A 22,163-nucleotide genomic window follows, 5' to 3' on the forward strand; every position below is an offset into this window, starting at 1 on the left:
TTCAGAGATATATGTACAGAATGTGCAGTTTTGTCACATAGGTATACATGTGCCATGGTAGTTTGCTGCACCTATCAACCCATCATCTAGGTTTTCAGCCCTGTATGCATTAGGTATTTGGCCAAATGCTCTCCCTCCCCTTCCCCCCCACCCCTCGACAGGCCATGGTGTGTGATGTTCCCCTCCCTGTGTTCATGTGTTCTCATTGTTCAACTCCCAATTATGAGTAAGAACATGTGGTGTTTGGTTTTCTGTTCTTGTGTTAGTTTGCTGAAGATGATGGTTTCCAGTTTCATCCATGTCCCTGCAAAGGACATGAACTCATCCTTTTTTATGACTGCATAGTATTCCATGGTATATATGTGCCACATTTTCTTTATCCAGTCTCTCATTGATGGGCATCTGGGTTGGTTCCAAGTCTTTGCTGTTGTGAATAGTGCTGCAATAAACATACGTGTGCATGTGTCTTTATATTAGAATGATTTATAATCCTTTGGGTTATATACCCACTAATGGGATTGCTGGGTCAAATGGTATTTCTGGTTCTAGATCCTTGAGGAATTGCCACACTGTCTTCCACAATGGTTGAACTAATTTACACTCCCACCAACAGTGTAAAAACGTTCCTATTTCTCTGCATCCTCACCAGCATCTGTTGTTTCCAGACTTTTTAATGATAGCCATTCTAACTGGGTGCAAGATAGTATCTCATTATGGATTTGATTTGCATTTCTCTTATGACCAGTGATGATGAGCTTTTTTTTCATATGTTTGCTGGCTGCATAAATGTCTTCTTTTGAGAAGTGCCTGCTTATATCCTTTGCCCACTTTCTGATGGAGTTGTTTTTTTAATTGTAAATTTGTTTAAGTCCCTTGTAGATTCTGGATATTAGACTTTTGTCAGATGGATAGATTGCAAAAATTTTCTCCCATTCTGTAGTTTGCCTTTTCACTCTGATGGTAGTTTCTTTTGCTCCGCAGAAGCTCTTTAGCTTAATTAGATCCCATTTGTCAATTTTGGCTTTTGTTGCAATTGCTTTTGGTGTTTTAGTCATGAAGTCTTTGCCCATGCCTATATCCTGAATGGTATTGCCTAGGTTTTCTTCTAGGGTTTTTATGGTTTTAGGTTTTACATTTAAGTCTTTAATCCATCTTAAGTTAATTTTTGTGTGAGGTTTAAGGAAGGGGTCCAGTTTCTGTTTTCTGAATAAGGTTAGCCAGTTTTCCCAGTATCATTTATTAAATAGGGAATCCTTTCCCCATTGCTTATTTTTGTCAGGTTTGTCGAAGATCAGATGGTTGTAAATGTGTGGCGTTATTTCTGAGGCCTCTGTTCTGTTCCATTGGTCTATATATCTGTTTTGTTACCAGTACCATGCTGTTTTGGTTACTGTAGCTTTGTAGTATAGTTTCAAGTCAGGTAGCGTGATGCCTCTAGCTTTGTTCTTTTTGCTTAGGATCGTCTTGGCTATTCAGGCTCTGTTTTGGTTCCATATGAAATTTAAAGTAGTTTTTTCTAGTTCTGTGAAGAAAGTCAGTGGTAGCTTGATGGGAATAGCATTGAATCTATAAATTACTGCTGGCAGTATGGCCATTTTCACAACATTGATTCTTCCTATCCATGAGCATGGAATTTTTTCCATTTGTTTGTGTCCTCTCTTATTTCCTTGAGCAGGGGTTTGTAGTTCTCCTTGAGAGGTCCCTCACATCCCTTGTAAGTTGTATTCCTAGATATTTTATTCTCTTTGTAGCAATTATGAATGGGAGTTCACTCATGATTTGGCTCTCTGCTTTTCTGTTATTGGTGTATAGGGCATATTTTCTATTAACCTCATCATTCATGAAGGGGCTGACCATTAAGGTGCTTTAGAGATGTTCCTTGAGCATCCATATCAAAACCTTCTTTAAAAATCTGTCTAATCACTTATTGAATCCTTTATCACTTGAAGATAAATGAATTTTCTAAAGGTCCAACACAGTGAATAAATAAATCCTTTCTTTTTTTGTTACAAATTTACCTCTTTCAAGATTTAAATTTTGTCTTCTGTTACAATTGAAATGTATTAAAGAAAAATCTAAAATGAGGAATTAGCTAACTGTTAATTTCTCATGGGACTGTTTACATTTTAATGAGTCAAGAGCTGTCTGATTTTTAAATAGCATATTATCCTATCTCATGGTAATCAAATTCACAAGGGAAGGATTGATAAATCAGAAGGATACGCAACCAATTGTTTCATCTGGTAATCAACTTTAGAGGGAATAAAATAAATTAATGGTAATTAAACACTTTAAGTATGATATTGACTTAATTTCTAATCATTTTAAGTAAATATGCACATTTTAATGTTATTTAGTGCATTCATACTTAATACTTTCTTTTCATCTGCACATTTATCCATGATGATATAATTTTATTAAATCCTTTCTATGGCTCTCCATTAGAAACAGCATAGACTCTTAACTCTTAGGCTCTTAATGTGAAATACAAAACCTTATCTGCCTCTGCCCCTCTTCTCTGGCCTCAGCTCTCTACACATCTTGCCTCCGGCCACTGGACTCTGCTGTCTCCTCACACACACCTGCTGTTCTATGCATCTGTGTCTTGGCTGATGCTGTTCCCTGCACATCAACCGCGCAGCCATTTTCTTCATCTCAGTAACTTCTACTCATGTTTTAGGTCTCTAATTAGGTGTCACTGCCTTCAAGATATCTGCCATAACCGAATCAGGGCTTTTTTTTTTCACATGAGCAGATTGAGGGGATTATTTTGAAACTACAGTTTTGATCAATCATCCACAATGATGAAATGAAGTGATGACCACCTTTATCTTTAGAAATGCTTTGTTTTACAATGTGTTTTTCTGATATAGCTAAACCAGATTTGGGGGGATGAATATTTGTATGTGGCTGTACATTTTTCCTGCTTTTACTTTAAGCTTCCTGTATCCTTACAGTTTTTTTCAAACACCAACTCAAACCAGACTTATATTTTTAATATGTGTCTTATAAACACTATAAAGTTGAGTTTTTGTTTCTGTTTTTTATCTTGACTGGCATTATATGTCTTTAATTAGAGCATTAAGTTCGTTTTCATCTAATAGAGACACAATATATTCTTAGATTTGCTTTATATTTGTTCTGCCTGTGTATATTCTTTTTAACTGGCAACTCTCTTCAGTTGCCAGTTAGCAGTTTTTCTGTCTCAGTGTTTTAAAGACACTGTTTCACCGGCTCCTTACTTCCACTGTTGCTGTTAGGAAACCATCTTTCTGCCTGTTCACTCCTTCGAAAGTGTCTTAACCTGGGCTCCCCAGAAGTGTGCTTGTAGTTCATTTTTGGAGGTGATGCCAGGAAATAAGAGTGGAGGACCAGGAAAAGTGTGCCAGGAAAGGAGGGAGATACAATTTTTAGGCTATCACTGCCGTGGACCACTAGAGCACAATCTTGCTGAGCTCCTCCAAGAAGCCATGTAGAATAGGTTTGAAAATTGTCCAACAGAAGAACAGAAAATGCCTCAGAGTTGCCTCACAGAGGAGAGAAAGGTTCCCATCCCCCATTGGTCAGAGGTTTCCCCCTGGCTTGTTAACTCCTGGTACTTCCTGTCCTGGTTGTGCATATCTAAGTGCAGAATAGGTTTCCACGGGCAGCCAAGATGCAGGGATAGACAGGCCTTGACAGAGAAGGGAAAATGATGCTTGAGTTGATGATGCTAGAGTTGATGGGAGATTCTATCAGGTTATAAATGTGTGAAGTGTGTTGCCAGAATTGGCTAGATTAAAAAGTAGGGTGCTACAGGTTACAAGAGGTGTTGAATAAGTAAGTAATCCATCTTTTCTCCTCTGGCTGCTTTTGAGATTTTTCTCTTTGTCTTTTGTTTTCTGCAGTTTTACTATGATGTATCTAAATGTGAATTAAAAAAAATTTACTCTACTTGGAATTATTTGACTTTATGAATCTGTGGATTGGGGTTTCCACAATCTTCTGAAAATTATTAGCCACGTCTTTTCAAATATTGTCTGTGCCTCATCATTTTTCTCCCTTTCCTCTGGGATTCCAAATAAACATGTTCTTATTCTATCTCCTGAAATTCCATTTCAACATATATTAGACCCATCTGATTCATCTGCCATCACGTTTACCCTCTTATCAATATATTCCCTCTTTTTATCTCTCTGTGCCACGTTTGGCTCAGCTATTTCTTCTGACCAACTTCTAGGTTGCTAAAATAATTTCTTTTTAAAATTTTTGTTTCTTTTGAGACGAGGTCTCACTCTGTCACCCAGGCTGCAGTGCAGTGGCACAATCATGGCTCACTGCAGCCTCAGCCTCCTGGGCTCAAGTGATCCTCCCATGTAGCTAGAGCCACAGACACACACCACCACACTTGGCTAATTTTTGTGGAGACCAGGTCTTGCCACATTGCCCAGGCTAGTCTCAAACCTCTGGGCTCAAGCGATCCACCCACCTCAGCCTCCCAAAGCACTGGGATTACAGGTGGGAGCCACTGCACCTAGAAAATTATTTCTAATATGCTATTAAACCCACTCACTGAGTTACTCATATCAGTTATTTTCAGACATTTTATTTGGTTATTTAACAAATTTTGTGTTTCACTTTTATAGTTTTCTATGACCTGGAGATATTTCATGCTTATTTTTTTCCTTTTTTTCTAAAGTTTTATTTTTGACTCTGTGTATAAGCATGTTTCTTTTTTATTTAACATGGTAACCATAGTAGAATGTAAAACCAATGTGGGACAGTTAAATATTCCTCTGTTCACCATGTTTAACAAATAAAAGAGCACACAAATATCCAGCTATTTATCTGCACTTGAAATACTGATGGCAATACCATGTTCCTTTTATTTCATATCTAAGCATTTTGAAAGAGTTTTTTAAATATAAGGTTTCTATGTCCTCACCTTGCATTCATTCACTTTTCAAAAACACTTTTTCTTTTAGAACAGTTTTAGTTTTCCAGAATTATTACAAAGATAGTACAAGGAGTTCCTGTTTATCCCACACCTAGTTTTCTCTATTATTAATATCTTCCTGTTGTATATTTGTCATAATTACTGAACCAATATTGTTACATTATTATTAATAGAAGTCCATATTTTATTCACATTTCCTCAGCTAATGTTCATTTTGTATTCCAGAATCCCACCAGGAATAGCAAATTATATTTAGTTGTCTTGTCTCTTTACGTTCTTAATTGTGACAGTTTCTAGACTTTCATGGCTTTTGATGCCCTTGGAAATGTTGAGGATTGCTGGTCAGATATTTTGTAAAATGTCAGTCCATTGGGATTCATCTGAGATTTTTCTCATAATCAGATTGGAGTTAGGTGTTTCAGGCAGGAAGACCGCAGAAGTAAAGTGGCATTCCCATTACGCGCAATCAAGGGCGCATACAATCATATGATGTGTCGCTGCTGATGTTTGCGTTCATCACCTGGCTTGTGATTGTGATCCTCTACTGTAAAGTTCCTCTTTCTTCTCCCTGTCCATGTTGTTCGCCTTGGAAGTAAGTCACTCAGTACAGTTATACTTTACCTTCTTAAGGAAAGGAGTATCTACATAAATATTTTTGGAATTCTTATTTTATGGCAAACTTGTCTTATCCCTGATTTATTTATTTACTTATTCAATCATTTATTTATATCACTGTGGACTCATGAATATTTATTTTATGTTTTGGGTTACAATCCAATACTACTTTATTTATTGGGAGCTCTTTCAGTCAGCTCCTGCATCCCTTTGACATTCTCTCATCATCGTGGGGTTTTGTTGTTTGGTTGTTTTGTTGTTTTCTTTGTTGTTAACACTCTCTTTCTTACTGGCACTATAAGATGCTCCAAGCTAATCCGGTATAATTCCTGCATCATAGCACGTGCACCATCTTACATTCCCAGTCCTAGAATCAGGCATTTCTCCTAGGAGCTCTGGACCGTTTCGGTTCCTTTATTAGAGAAAGGTATTAGACATCAAGATCGGGGTACTAGGTGTGCTTTTTGATGTTTGGTTGTTTTCCTCTCTCAGCTGTCAGAGCAAGGAAACATATATGTGTGTACTAATCCAAGCATATATACACACATATCTATAAATTTTTCCATATTTAACTATCTGTATTTATATTAAGCTAAATGTGAGTTTATACAGATGGCTTCAACCCTAATCTATGACCACATTAATCATTCTGGACTCCTTGCTTGCTTAGCTGTAATCTCCTACCTTAAGAATAAGAAACTAGACTCCCACCATCTGCCATCCATTTGCTTAACATGTATGTTTCCAGCATACATGTTATTAGTCAGCTCAGGTGATCCTAACAACATACCATAGACCGGGTGGCTTAAAAAACAGAAATTTGGCTGGGCGTGGTGGCTCATGCCTGTAATCCCAGCACTTTGGGAGGCCGAGGTGGGTGGATCACGAGGTCAGGAGATGGAGACCATCCTGGCTAACACAGTGAAAGCCCATCTCTACTAAAAATACAAAAAATTAGCTGGGCATGGTGGCACACACCTGTAGTCCCAGCTACTCAGGAGGCTGAAGCAGGAGAATCACTTGAACCCGGGAGGCGGAGGTTGCAGTAAACCGAGATCACGCCGCTGCACTCCAGCCTGGGTGACAGAGCGAGACCCCATCTCAAAAAACAAAAACAAAAACAAAACAAAACCAAAAAACACAGAAATTTATCTCCTGTCAGTTCTAGAGGCTAGAAGTTTAAGATCAGGGTTTCATACTGGCTTGTAGATAATTTATGTAAATGGAATCATACAATATTTTTGACCTTTTGTAACTTAGTTCACTTAGCATAATGTCTTCAAGGTTCACCCATGTTTTAGCATGTTTCAGAATTTCTTCCCTTTTTAAGGCTGAATAATATTCCATCATATATATATAAAATATACCACATTCTGTGTGTCCATTCATCCATCACTGGACACATGGGTTGCTTCCACCTTTTGGCTTTTGTGAACAATGCTGCTATGAACATGGATGCACAAATATCTGCTCATATCCCTGCTTTAAAAACTTTTGGGTATATACCCAGAAATGGAACTGCTAGATCCCATGGTAATTCTATTTTTATTGTTTTGAGAAACTGCCACACCATTTTCCATAGCACCTCCACCATCTTACATTCCCATTAACAGTACACAAAGGTTCCAATTCCTCTACAGCCTCACTAACACTTGTTTTGTTTTGTCTTTGGAGGAGGGAGTTTTATTTTGTTTTTATTGAGTAACAAGATTTTTGATAATCTTGTTAATAATCTTATTAGATTGTGTATAGATTATTTTGGGGGTATATGTGATATTTTGGTACCCATATACAATGTGTAATGATCAAATCAGGGTAATTGGGATATCCATCACCTCAAACATTTATCTTTTTTTTTGTGCTGAGAATGTTAAAAATCAACTTTCTTAGCTATTTTCAAATATACAATAAATGATTAAGCTTCACCCTACTATGCTATCAAACACTAGAGCTTATTCTATCTAACTGTGTGTTTATATCCATTAACCAGCCTCTCTTCACCACCACCCCCACCAGCCTTCCCAGCATCTGGTGACCGCTTTTCAACTCTCTGCCTCCATGAAATCCACTTTTTTAGCTCCCACATATGAGAACATATGATATTTCTCTTTCTATGCCTGGTATATTTCACTCAAAATAATAGCCTCCAGTTCCATGCATATTGCTGCAAATGACAGGTTTTCATTCTTTTTTTTTATAGCTGAATAGTATTACATCATATATATAGACTGCATTTTCTTTACCCATTCTTCCATTGCTGAATATTTAGGTTGTTTCCATATTTGGCTATTGTGAATAATGCTACAATAAACATGGGGGTTCAGGTATCCCTTTGACATCCTGATTTCATTTCCTTTGGATAAATACCTAGTAGTGGGATTGCTGGATTGCATGGTAGTTTCATGTTTAGTTTTTTGAAAAATTTCCATACTGTTTTCCATAGGAGTTGTACCGATTTACATTCCTACCAACAGCATATGAGGTTACCTATCAGATGAATAGTTTGCAAGTATTTTCTCCCATTCTACAGACTGTCTCTTCACTTCATTGATTGTTTCCTTTGCTGTGTAGAAGCTTTTTAATTTAATAAAGTCCCATTTGTCTATTTTTGTGTTTGTTGCATATGCTTTTGAAGTCTTAGCTGTAAAATGTTTGCCCAGACCAACGTCCTAAAGCATTTCCTCTGTTTTCTTCTAGTAGTTTTATAGTTTCATGTCTTACCTTTAAGTCTTTAATTCATTTTGAGTTGATATATATATAGTGAGAGATAAAGGTTTAATTTCATCCTTCTGCATATGGATATCCAGTTTTCCCAGCACAATTTATTGAAGAGGGCATCCTTTCCCAAATGTATGTTCTTGGTGCCTTTGTCAAAAATTAGTTGGCTGTAAATATGTGGATTTATTTCTGGATTCTCTATTCTATCAGTCTATGTTTTTATAACAATACCATGCTGTTTTGTTTACTATAGCTTTGTACTGTACTTGAAGTCAGGTTGTGTATGCCCCTAGCTTTGTTCTTTTTGCTCATTATTGTTTTGGCTACTTGGGATCTTTTGTGGTTCCATATGAATTTTAGGATTTTTTTTTCTATTTCTGTAAAGAATGTCCTTGATATTTTGATAGAGATTGCATTGAATTTGTACATTGCTCTGGGTAGTATGGTCGTTTTAACAATATTAATTGGTCTGATACTGCAATATGGAATGTCTTTCCATTTGTTTATGTCATCTTCAATTTTTTTCCTCAGTGTTTTATACTTTTCTTTGTAGAGGTCTTTTACTTCCTGAAATTTATTCCTAGGTAATTTTTTTTGTAACTATTGTAAATGGAATTGCTTTCTTGATTTGTTTTTCAGCTAGTTTGTTATTGGTGTAAGAAACACTACTGTTTTTTCTTTTCTTTTTTTTTTTTTTTGAGACAGAGTCTCACTCTGTCACCCAGGTTGGAGTGCAGTGGCGCGATCTTGGCTCACTGCAAGCTCCGCCTCCCAGGTTCACACCATTCTCCTGCCTCAGCCTCTCGATTAGCTGGGACTATAGGCACCCGCCACCACGCCCAGCTAATTTTTTTTTATTTTTAGTAGAGATGGGGTTTCACCGTGTTAGCCAGGATGGTCTCAATACCCTGACCTTGTGATCCGCCCACCTTGGCCTCCCAAAGTGCTGGGATTACAGGCGTGAGCCACTGCGCCTGGCCAGAAACACTACTGTTTTTTCTATGTTGATTTTGTATTGTGCAACTACTGAATTCATTTACTAGTTCTACACATTTTTTTGGTGGAATCTAGGTTTTTCTATATATAAGATTGTGTTGGCTGGGTGTGGTGGCTCATACCTGTAATCCCAGCACTTTGGGAGGTCAAGGTGGTGTGGATTGCTTGAGAGGAGCTCAAGACAAGTGTGGGCAACATAGTGAGACCCTATCTCTAAAAAAAAAAAAAAAAAAAATTAGCCAGGCATAGTAGCACGTGCCTGTAGTGCCAGCTACGTGGGAGGCTAAAGCAGGAGGATCACTTGAGCCCAGGAGTTTGAGGCTGCAGTGAGCCATGATCTGAGTGAGATTCTGTGCCCCTTCCCCCACCAAAAAAAAAAAAAATTGTGTCATTGTGTCATCTGCAAAGAAGAACAATTTATTTTCCAACCTTGATCCTTTTTTTTTTCTTTTGTCTATTGCTCGGCTAGGACTTCCAATATTATGTTGAATAGGAGTGGTAAAAGTGGGCATCCTTCATCCTTGTTTTGATCCAGTTCTTAGAGGGAGAAGCTTTCAACTTTTCCCCATTCAGTATGATGTTAGTTGTGGGTCTGTGATATATGGCTTTTATTATGTTGAGGTATGTTCCTTCTATGCCTAATTTGTCGAGTTTTTTTTTTTATCATGAAGAGATGTTGAATCTTATCAAATGCTTATTCTGCATCTGTTAAGACAATCATATGGTTTTTGTTCTTCATTCTGTTGATGTGATATATCATATTTATTGATTTGCATATGTTGAACCACCCTTGTATCCCTGGGATGAATCTCACCTGATCATGGTGTATTATCTTTTTGATGTCTTGTTGGATTCATTTTGCTAGTATTTTGTTTTGAATTTTTGCATCTCTGTCATCAGGGATATTGGCCTGTAGTTTGTTGTTGTTGTTGTGTCCTTGTCTGGTTTTGGTGTCAGGGTAACGCTTGCCTTGTAAAATGAGTTAGGGAGAATTTCCTCCCCTTCAAATTTTTGGAATAGTTTGCAGAGAACCGATATTAGTTATTCTTTATAAGTTTGGTAAAATTCAGCAGTAAAGCCATCTGGTCCTGGGCTTTTCTTTTTTGGGAGACATTTTATTGGAGATTCAATCCTGTTACTAATTAATGGTCTATTCAGGTTTTCTATTTCTTCCTGGTATAATCATGGTAGATTTTACGTGTCCAGGAATTTATTCATTTCCTTTAGGTTTCACAATTTGTTAGCATATAGTGGTTCATAAATAGTCCTTAAGGATCCTTTGAAGGTTTGTGGATCCACATCAGTTGTAATGTGTCCTTTTTGTTTCTGATTTTATCGAGTCTTCTCTCTTTTTTTCTTGGTCACTCTAAGTAGCAGTTTATCGATTTTATCTTTTTTAAAAATCAACTTTTTGTTTTGTTGATTCTTTGTATGTGTTTTAGTCTCTATTTCATTTAGTTCTGCTCTGATCTTTATTCTTTCTTTCTTTCTACTAATTTTGGGTTTGATTTGTTCTTGCTTTTCTGGTTCCTTGAGGTGCATTAGGTTGTGTATTTGAGATCCTTTTACTTTTATGACCTAGGTGTTTATTGCTATAAACTTCTCTCTTAGCAGTGCTTTTACAGCATCCCATAGATTTTGATATGTTGTGTTTCTATCTTCATTTGCGTCAAGGAATTTTTTAATATATTCTTAATTTCTTTCCTGACCCAATGGTCATTTAGGAGCATGTTGTTTAATTTCCATGCGTTCTTTTCTTCCCTAGAATGTCCACTTTCGTCCATGTATTTTTATAGTTTCAAATATTCCTCTTGTTTTTGACATCTAATTTTACTCCACTGTGGTCAGAGAAGACACTTGATATGAATTCAATTTTTAAAAAAATGTTTGAGATTTGTTTTGTGTCCTAATATATGGCCACTTCTGGAGAACATTTCACATGTTGATTAAAAGAATGTGTATTCTGTACTTTTTATGCAAAATGTTTTGTAAATGTCTGTTAGGTCCATTTAGTCTGAAGTGCAGTTTGAATCCAGTGTTTCTTTGTTGATTTTCTATCTAGAGTTCTGTCCAATGCTGAGAGTGGGGTGTTGAACTCCCCAGCTATTATTTTTATGGAGGTCTATTTCTCCCTTTAGATGTAATTATATTTGCTTTATATATCTGGGTGTGTTGAGTGCATATAACATTTCTTTCTTTTTTTTTTCTTTTTCTTTTTCTTTTTTTTTTTTTTTTTTTTTTTTTGAGACAGAATTTCGTTCTTGTTGCCCAGGCTGGAGTGCAATGGCACCATCTTGGCTCACTGCAACCTCCGCCTCCCAGGTTCAAGCAATTCTCCTGCTTCAGCCTCCCGAGTAGCTGGGATTATAGGCGCCCACCAGCACACCTGGCTAATTTTGTATTTTTAGTAGAGACAGGGTTTCACCATGTTGGTGAGGCTGGCCTCGAACTCCTGACCTCAGGTGATCCACCCACCTCAGCCTCCCAAAGTGCTGGGATTACAGGCATGAGCCACCGCGCCTGGCTGAATGCATATAACATTTCTAAATAATGCTATATCCTCTTGCTGAACTGATTTATTTATTATTATCTAATGACTTTCTTTGTCTCTTTTTATGGTTTTTGACTTAAAGTCTGTTTTACCTACTATAAGAATAGCTACTCCTGCTCACTTTGACTCCATTTGTGTGGAATAACTTTTTATATGCCTTCACTATGAATCTTCATGTATCTTTACAAGTGAAGTGAGTTTCTTATAGGCAATATATAGTTGGATTGTGTTTTTTTTTAATCCATTCAGCCTGTAAATGTCATTTAAATGGAAAATTCAATTCATTTACATTACATTCAAGGTTATTATTTATAGGTGAGGACTATTCCTGTCATTCTGTTAATTTTTTTCTGGTTCTTTTGTATATCCTTTGTTCCTTCATTCTCTCTTATTGTTTATCATTGCAGTTTGGTGGTTTTCTGTAGTGGTAACATTTGACTCCTTTCTCTTTCTTCTTTGTGTTATTGATATACCATTGAGTTTTATGCTTTTGTGTGTTTTCATTATGGTAGATACCATCCTTTCACTTCCAGATATAGGACTTCCTTAAGCATTTCTTGTAGGGCTGATCTATTGTTGATGAATTCCCCCAGGTTTTGCTTACCTGGGAAAGACTTCATTTCTTTATTTTTGAAGGATAGCTTTGCTAGGTATTGTATTCCACACTGGCAGTTAGAACTTTGACTGTATCATCTCATTCTCTCCTGGCCTATTAGGTTTCTGCTGAGAAATCCACTGTTAATATGAGGAAGATTCCCTTACATGTGACTTGATGCTTTTCTCTTGCTGATTTTAGAATTCTCTTTTTGCCTTTACCTTTTGGCAGTTTGAAATTCATGTACCTTGGAGAAAACCTTTTTTGGGTTAAATCTATTTGGAGATCTTTGAGCTTCCTGTACCTGGATATCTATATATCTTGCAAGGCTTGGGAAGTTTTCAGCGATTATTTTGTAAAATAGCTTTTCTATGTGTTTGCCTGTCTCTCCACCTTCTGGAGCTCTCAAAATTCAAATATCTGGTTGCTTTATGGTATCCCATATGTCATATAGGCTTTCTTCATGCTTTCTTATTCTTTTTGTTTGTTTGACTGGGTTATTGCAAAAGACCTGTCTTCGAGTTCAGAAATTCTTTCTTCTGCTCGATCAAGTCCATTGTTAAAGCTCTTAATTGTATTTTTAATTTTATGCATTGAATTCTTCAGTTCCAAGATTTCTGTTTGACCTTTTTCTTTAATATCTATCTGTTTGTTAAATCTCTCATTCAGATCTTGAATTGATTTCCTATTTTCTTTGTGTTGTTTATTTGTGTTCTCTTGTATCTCACTAAGTTTCTTTTTTTCCTCCTCCCTCTCTGAGTTTCTTTATTGTCATTTTTTTCAATTCCTTTTCAGACATTTCTTAGATTTCCTTTTTGTTGGGATCTGTTACAGAGAATTATTGTGTTCCTTTGGAAGAGCCATGTTTCCTTGCTTTTTCATGTTTCTTGTGTCTTGCACAGATACATTGGTATCTGTGCATCTGGTATAAAAGTTGCTTCTTTCAGTTTTATAGATTGGCTTTCATAGTGGAAGACATTTTCCTTTGGATATTTCTTCAGTGTTGGTTGGGTAGGTTACTCTGGCTTTAATTCTGGATGGGCACAGTAGTGTAGTCCCTGCATGATTTCTTCAGCTATATAATCAGCATCAATGATGTCTCTGAGTTTTGCAGTGGCTTAGGCTGTGGTTGTTATTGAAGGCTATGGTGGGGCTTTGTTGGGGACAGGAGAACCAGGCAGGCTGGTCCATGGACACCAGTGGTAGGGACAGCTGGCTAAACATCAGGTTCGTGAACCCCCTGGCAGCCTACATGGGCACTAGTAGTAGCAGGTCTGGGTAGACCAATTCTTGGGCCTCCAGGTGGCTTGCTTGAGTGCTGGCAGTGGCAGCAGTGGGCCAGATGGGTGTCAGGTCCGCAGGCCCCTTGGCAGCATTCATTGCATAAGCAGTGGCAGTAGCAGCAGGAGGCCAACCCTTCAGCCCCCTTGCAGCACGTGAGTACCAGCAATTGCAGTGGTGGGCTGAATTGGCCAATCCCCAGGCCTCCAGGTGGCACACAGATGTGGGTGCCAGTGCCAGTGGCAGGTTGGGCAGGCCAGTCCCAAGGTCTTCAGTAAATCCACATGGTGGAAGTGATGGGCAGGACAGGTCTATTCTCAGGCCCCTGAAAGGCATACATAAGTGCCAGTGGTGTCAGGCAGGGCAGAACAATCCCCAGGCCCCTGGAGGGTATATGTGAGTGTCAGTAGGAGCAGGTGGAGAAGATCAATCTCCAGGTCCCTGGACAACATGCATATACACTGGCAGCGGCAGTTGGGGTGAGTTGACCCCTAGGCTTCTGAATGATGCATGCGGGCACTGGTGAAGGTGGATGTAGGCAGGTCTGGCCTATCATCATGACTCCAGTGGTGCATGTGGGTGCCGCTTGCAACGAGCAGGGTGGATCTATCCCTAGGTCCCCAGATAGCATGCTGGGGCACTGGTAGTGGTGGTGGCAGTGGACAGATCAGGACCATCCTCAGGCCCTCAGATGGTGTGCATGGGCACTGGCAGTGGTGGGCAGGGCAGGTGGATTCCCAGGCCTCCAGATAAAAAATGCATGCAGGCCGCACTGGTGGAAGCTGCAGGTGGGTTGGGTATAACCTCAGGTCCTCCAATGGTGTGTATGGCCACTGGCTGTAGTGGGTGGAGCAAATTGATCCCTGTGCTCCCAGACTCATTTTTTAATTAGGTTGTTTGGTGTTATTTTTTATTGCTCAGGTTTAAGTTTTCTATATATTCTGGATATTAATGTTTTATGAGATATGTGATTTGAAACTATTTTCTTCTATCCTGTGGATTATCTTTTTATTCTGTTCATAGGGACTTTTGAGGCACAGAAGTTTTTAATTTTAATGAAAGCTATTTTTCTTTTTGTTACCCGGGCTTTTGGTGTCATATCCAAGAAATCATTGCCAAATCCAATGTCATGAATATTTTTCCCTATGTTTTCTTCTAAGAGTTTTATCGTTTAGCTCTTAACATTTCAGGAATTAACTATTGATAATGCCCAACAACTTGGATGGATGCTGAGTTAAATAGCCACTTTCAAAGTATTGAATACTGTATGATTCCATTTATAGAACATTTTAGAGGTGACAAATTGTAGTAATACAAAACAGTTAAGTGGTTTTCAGGGCTTAGGATATGTGGGCAGCTGTGAATCTTAAGTGGTAACATGACAGAGTTTCTTCTATGTGATGTATTCACTCTTGTGTTCTGGTTGTGGTGGTAATTACGTGAATCTACGCATGTGATAAAGTTTTACAGAACTATGCTAAATAAATAAATAAAAGAGTGTCTGGGCCGGGCGCGGTGGCTCACGCCTGTAATCCCAGCACTTTGGGAGGCCGAGGCGGGTGGATCACGAGGTCAGGAGATTGAGACTATCCTGGCTAACATGGTGAAACCCCGTCTCTACTAAAAATACAAAAAATTAGCTGGGCGTTGTGGCAGGCACCTGTAGTCCCAGCTACTCAGGGGGCTGAGGCAGGAGAATGGCATGAACCCGGGAGGTGGAGCTTGCAGTGAGCCGAGATCACGTCACTGCACTCCAGCCTGGCGGACAGAGCAAGACTCCATCTCAAAAAAAAAAAAAAAAAAAAAAGAGTGCCTGGAAAAATTGGTGAAATCTGAATAAGGTCTGTACCCGAGTTAATAACGTATCAGCATCAATTTCCTAGTTTAGACAATGCATTAGGATTATGTAAACTATTCCCATTGGGAAAAAGCTGGGGAAAGGGTACATGGAAACTTCTTGTGAGTCAAACAGTTTTGAAATAAAATAATTTAAAATCCTATTTTAAAATCTCTTCAATGTTTGGCCATTGTACTAAGAATAAAATCTAACTTATTTTCCAAAGCATACAATGCTTAGCATGATGTAGCCCTTGCCTATCTCTTCTCTGACCTTATCCACTTACTAGTCTCCCCCTTCTACTATACACGAGCCGTTATTTTCCTGTCAATTCCTCAAGCATAGTAACTCCTCTCCCACCTCAGGGACTTTGTAACTGTTGTTCCTTCTGTCTAGAATTCCCTGATCACAGCTGTCTCATGAAAGATACATACTCTCCTCTGGATGGTGAGATTTTTTTCATTATTTGTTCAACAAATATTTATAAATGCAGGTTTGAGAGGCAAGCCTCAAGGCAGCAGTGTAGTTTTGAACATATTGGTTTGAAGTGCTTCTCAGACAACTGGAAGTCACGATTAATAATCTAATTAGATCCTCAGATCTAGAACTAGATATAAAATTTGGGATCTGGCTTACAATTTGATGAGTTGTACAGGAATTGGATGGTACTTGAAGCCATGAGTGAAATGAGATCACGTAGGAAGAGAATATACTCTGAGAAGAGAGGGGGCCTAAGGCCAGACCCTGGGAACCATTAATAGAGCAGGAGGGAGTGATAACATGGAAGCCAAGTAAGAATGTTTCAAACGGGAAGATTCATCCAATGTATCAAATGCTGCTAAAAAATCAGGTAAGATCAACTATGTTTATTAAATTTAACAACATGTACAGCCATATGTTGATACAACTAGAAAAATTATTGTTATTTTTAATAACAATACTATTATAATATTTTAAAATACTATTTAGTATATTTTAAAATACTATTAAAAATAATAATAATATAATAATAATGCTATTAAAAATAATAATACCAGGCATGGTGTCTCACACCTATAATCCCAGCACTTTGGAAGGCTGAGGCAGGAGGATTGCCTGAGCCCAGGAGTTCAAGACCAGTCTGGGCAACATAGCAAAACCCCATCTGTACAAAAAATACCAAAATTAGCTGGGCGTGGTGGCACACACTTGTCACAGCTATTCGGGAGGCTGAGGTTGGGCGATCGCTTGAGCCTGAAAGGCAGAGGTTGCAGTGAGCTGTGATTGAGCCACTGAGCTCCAGCCTGGGTGACACAGTAAGACCTTGTCTCAAATAATAATAATAATAATAATAATAATAACAATGCAAACATTAGCAGTAATATAATGAAACTTGTTCTGTCATAGATCACTAGTAATAACATAAATTGGTATAATTCTTTTAGAAATTATTTTGGCAATATGTATCAAGAGAGTTTTGTTTGTTTGTTTGTTTGTTTGTTTTTAGAGATGGGGTCTCACTCTTTTACCCAGGCTGGAGTGTAGTAGTGTGATTATAGCTCACTGTAGCCTCAAACTCCTGGGTTCACGTGATCCTCCTGCCTCAGCCTCCTGAGTAGCTGGGACTACAGGTGCGCACCACCGTGCCATGCTAAAAGGGTTTTGTTTTTTTTTTTCTTTTGGAGACGGAGTCTCTCTGTTGCCCAGGCTGGAGTGCAGTGGCACGATATCAACTCACTGCAACCTCCACCTCCTGAGTTCAAGTGATTCTCCTGCCTCAGCCTCCTGAGTAGCTGGGACTACAGGCGTGTGCTACCAGGCCCAGCTATTTTTTGTATTTTTAGTAGAGACAGAGTTTCACCATGTTGGCGAGGCTAGCCTCGAACTCTTGACTTCAGGTGATCCACCTACGTTGGCCTCCCGAAGTGCTGGGATTACAGGCATTGAGCCACTGCACCCAGCCTAAAAGAGTTTTTAAAGTGTTTATAACTTTTGACCCAGCAATCACACTTCCAAGAATCTTATCAAAAGAAATAGTCCTAACCATGGAAAAGACTGTGTCTCTGATGATGTTCCTAGCAATAATATTTACCAATAGTGAAAAAAATAAAACTACCAAAATGTCCAGTACAGGAGTGTTAAGCAAATGGTGATAATTCACTCAGTGAAAAATTATGCAGACATTGAAAATGATGTTTATAGACTGAACATGAATATAAAACAGTAACCTGTACTTGGTAAATCTGAAGAAAACACTAATGTGGTTTTTGCCTTTTTGATAATTTCTATGTGTTAGTTTTTTCCATATTTATAAAATTATCTTTAATGACCATGAATTACTTTCTTAATCAAAAAATATATATTTTTAAGCTTGTTTATATGATTATATTAACTTTTTCTTGATATTTTTCCTACAATCTTCTTATATGTATTATTTATTATATTTTACTTCCATCTTACTCTTTGCTACATTAAGAATGCTTCATTTACTCTTTCCTCAGCAGTTATACAAAAGGTAGTTGTATTTAAAATTCTGAATAGTGAATATGATTTTCAGAAACAAAATTAAAATATCTATTATTTATTATTTATTAGGCAAACCTGTATTTCTCTATAAACATCATCAAATGGGCTGGGTGCAGTGGCTCATGCGTGTAATCCCAGCACTTTAGGAGGAGGAGGTGGGTGGATCACCTGAGGTCAGGAGTTCGAGACCAGCCTCACCAATATGGTGAAACCCTGTCTCTACCAAATATAAAAAAAATTAGTGGGGCATGATGGTGCATGCCTATAATCTCAGCTACTTGGGAGGCTGAAGTAGGAGAATCGCTTGAACCCAGGAGGTAGAGGTTGCAGTGAGCCGAGATTGTGCCATTGCACTCCAGCCTGGGCAACACAGCAAAACTCTTGTCTCAAAAAAAAAAAAAATCATCAAATGAGTATTCTTCAGGAAAGGCCTTCCCTGACCATTATTCCTACTTCCCACAATGGGTTCTACTATCAGATAACCCCATAACCCCCCTAATTACTCCTTACTGGCACTCATGATAACAATCTTAAAGGTTCCTTTGTGAGTGGATGCCATGTTTTTAGAAAATTAAACAAAAGCAGTATTAGAGGATTAGGATAGAATTCTAGACTAGCCCTCATCATCTGATTTTTTAATTCTAGAAATTTCCCATAGTAAAACAGTTGCTTCCATTCTAAAAGTACCTTATTAGGAATAATTCCAACTCAATTCCCCTTCTCCTTATGTATCATGAGAAAAAGGGAGCTTTTCAGATCTATCTGATTTCTAAGAGCGTTTTCCTTAAAGCCCCCAGGTATCGTTTGAAACCTACCTTGAAAGAGTATGTCATTTTGAAGGCAGGCTCATGTAGGAAGAATTCTAACAAACAGATTAGTTTCAGAAACTCTACTATGTATTTCATGGAGATTAACACTAGGGTTATTTATTTAAGTATCCCCATAGTTTCAGTGCATTCAGGATTCTGATTGTGTGTAGAGTTTTTGACGAGTTGGAAACTATTACAACTTATTTATAATTCATAAAGTTCGCATGGGGAGGAGGCTATAAGGTAGAAAGAACAAAGCTGAATCTTGAGCACATGGTAAATTTACAAATGTAAGCAATGTCTTAACGAAAATAACAAATTCAATATATCCTGATGTCACATCAAAATACTTTAGCTATGAAAATAATAAAAAATGAAATTTAATTTGTTTTTACAGAATTCCATAGTACTCAGCACACAGATGGCCACATTGGGACAGAAGCCTGTCATACATACAGTTCTGAAGAGAAAAGTTTATTCTTCAAATGAGAAAATGAGAAGGGGGTATTTAATTTTTTTTAATTTTAAATATAGAAATATGAAAACTTAAACTAGATTTTAAAATCCTAGTGGAACTTAATGAAATGTGTCTTATATGTTATTTTCAAGTGCCTTCTTTTATAAAACATAAAAAATTTGATAATCAGAACTAATTACTAACTTAGAAAATGCTAGACTCTTGGATTAGAGTTTTACAATTTGTGTCCATACATAATCCTCAATCCAAGAGCCTCATTCAGGTTGGTGGCAAATCCTGGAAATATCTCAAAATGTGTCCTGCTGGCTTATAAAAGTCAACCACGGTGGTGTCCAGTGCCCGTACACACACATACACACACACACACACACCACAAATTCTACCTGAAAGGCAAGATACATTACTGTTAAAGTTAGTAGGTTATCACAAGGTATAGACAGACTTTCTTAGTCTATTAAGCACCTAGACACAGGGCAAGGTGCTTTTAACTAAAGGATAAAGTACCTGCCTTCAATAATCTTTCATTTAGTGCAAGAGACAAACAAGAAACAGGTATTATATAGGAGTGAGGCCAGGATGCAGAGGAACACAAAGAGGGTGCACCAACTCTGGCCTGGAGGAGAGGGAGTCAGGGAGGACTTTTCTAAAAAGGTGACATCTGCATTATTGAAAAGAAGTAAAACCTAGCCAAATGGGGGAGAATTCCAAACATAGGAAATGACAAACAGCAGGTCCTCAAATAATGTTCATTATAACATTGATTAGAAAAAACTTGATTCCCTGTTGGGGCCACTGCTGTGTGGAGTGTGCATGCTCTCCCCGTGTCTGCGTGGGTTTCCTCCAGGTATTCTGGTTTCCTCTCACATCCCAAAGCTGTGCACTTGAAGTTCATTGGTGTGTCTGCGTGGTCTCAGTTGGAATGAGTGTGGGTGTGAATGTCAGTGTGCCCTACAATGGGATGGCGTCCTGTCCAGGGTAGGCTCCTGCCTTGAGCCCTGAGCTGCCAAAATGGGCTCTGGCCAACCACAACCCTGAACTGGAATAAGCAGGTTAGAAAATGAATGAATGGATGGATGAATACAAACTATTGTAAAATAAAAATTTGTAAAGTAGACAAGAGTATGACATGACAATAAACAATGCTGTAGGAAAGCGCTCAGCCGCCATATTTGTGATTGTTGAGTTTTGAACTGTGTGATAGTAGGAGGTGTTTCTTAACAATTTGGCAAACATTAATGTCTTGATTTAACCCACCATCACTATGATAACCCTCACTCACGGATTCACCAAGAGTTGGGTCAATAATTACCTTACTTGTAAGCCACCATGACTAGCCCTAAGAGTTCTTTATATTCTAGATACAAGTCCTTTATCAAACATGATTTACAAGGATTTTCTCCCATTCTGTGAATTGTCTTCTCAGGTTCTTCATGATACCCTTAAAGCACAGAAGTTTTACATTTTTATGAATTCCTAATTACCTGTTTTTTTCCTTTGGTTCTGTGTGCTTTGGGTGCCGTATCAAGGAAACCATTGCCAAATCCAAACTGTTTTTTTCCTATGAGTATTATAGTGTTCGCTCTTACATTTAAGCCCTTGGTCTACTTTGAGTTTATATTTGGTCTATATTTGCAGTGAGTTCATTTTGTGGTAGGGGTCCAAATGGATTCTTTTCTTTCTGGAGATCTAGTTGTCCCAGCATAATTTGCTGAAAAGACTGTTGTTTCCCCCATTGAATTGTTTTGGAACTTTTGTTGAAAGTCAGTTAAGAGTGAATGTGACAGTATATTTCTGGATTTTTAAATTCTATTCCATTGCCCTACATATTCATCCTTATGCCAATACCACACTTCTCCCATGGGTCTCTGCAACCCACAATCAGGAGATGCCCTTATGAGCCCATGCCACCAGGGCCTTGGGTCCAATACACACAGCTGTGTGGAGTCTCGGCAGAGCAGCCACTCAGGCACACGCAGAGGCCCAGGAGTTTTACATACTGTGGACCCAGGACCCCTGCCAAGGTGGAAAATTTGTCCGTACATATCCCTAGGAAGGGGGCTGAATCCAGGGAGCCAAGCAGCATTGTTCTGTGGGCCCCAATTCCACAGCAACTAAGGAAAAATTCTAGAAAAATATAAATCGTCAAAATTGACCCAAAAAATACATATAGAACTTGAGTAATGTTTTAACTGAAAAGAAACAATTATTATTTAACAATCATTGAGGAAGGGAAGAGAGCACTAGCACAGATAATTCCAATCCTAAACAGTGAGATGAAGTTATTAGCATACTGAAATTCAGGCAAGAGCTATATAAGAAAGGAAAATCACAAGCTAATCTTATTCGTGAATGTAGATGCCAAATCCTGAATAGAATATTATCAAATAAATTTAGCAATAGGCCAGGCATAGTGGCTCACACCTTTAATCCCAGCACTTTGGGAGGCCAAGGCAGGAGGATTGCTTGAGGCCAGGAGTTTCAGACCAGTCTGGGAAACATAGAGAGACCCCATCTCTATACAAAAATTAAAAATTAGCCAAGTGTAGTGGCATGCACCTGTAGTCCTAGCTACTTGGGAGGCTGAGGCAGGAGGATTGCTCAAGCCCAGGAATTTGAGGCCACAGTGAGCTATGATCATGCCACTGTACTCCAGCCTAGGTAATAGAGTGAGACCTTGTCTCTAAATACATAAATAAATAAATCCAGTAATATATATGAAAAATAAATGATATATGATCAAGTTGATTTATACCAGAAGTGCAAGTTCAGTATCATATTTTTAAATGTTTTAATGTAATTTATTACATTAATAGCTTAAAGGAGTAAAATTAGATGATCATCT

General features: G+C 38.2%; 1 protein-coding gene across 23 annotated transcripts in view, besides 1 other annotated feature; it reads left to right on the forward strand.

Annotated features, from left to right (window-relative positions):
• CATSPERE (catsper channel auxiliary subunit epsilon) overlaps positions 1-22,163 on the forward strand; it is a 189,263-nt gene that overhangs the window by 48,110 nt on the left and 118,990 nt on the right. For 19 of the 23 annotated variants that reach the window (XR_001737095.2, XR_001737096.2, XR_001737099.2 and 16 more), the window contains one exon: positions 19,241-19,347. The exons of the other annotated variants lie outside the window; for them this stretch is intronic. Coding sequence is in view for 16 of the 19 variants with exons in the window: in XM_011544138.3 (XP_011542440.1) it covers positions 19,241-19,347 (107 nt within the window). In the remaining 3 variants the exon portion in view is untranslated. The remainder of the gene's footprint in view (positions 1-19,240; positions 19,348-22,163) is intronic. 23 annotated transcript variants of the gene reach the window in all.
• Positions 13,798-14,298: an enhancer, noted in NCBI's record as "H3K4me1 hESC enhancer chr1:244676451-244676951 (GRCh37/hg19 assembly coordinates)". NCBI's record gives its function as "activates a minimal SCP1, AML or CMV promoter by ChIP-STARR-seq in naive H9 embryonic stem cells {active_cell/tissue: H9 hESC(naive)}" and the evidence as "EXISTENCE:reporter gene assay evidence [ECO:0000049][PMID:30033119]".

This window comes from Homo sapiens, chromosome 1 (assembly GCF_000001405.40).
Source record: "Homo sapiens chromosome 1, GRCh38.p14 Primary Assembly".
NCBI lineage: Eukaryota > Metazoa > Chordata > Mammalia > Primates > Hominidae > Homo > Homo sapiens.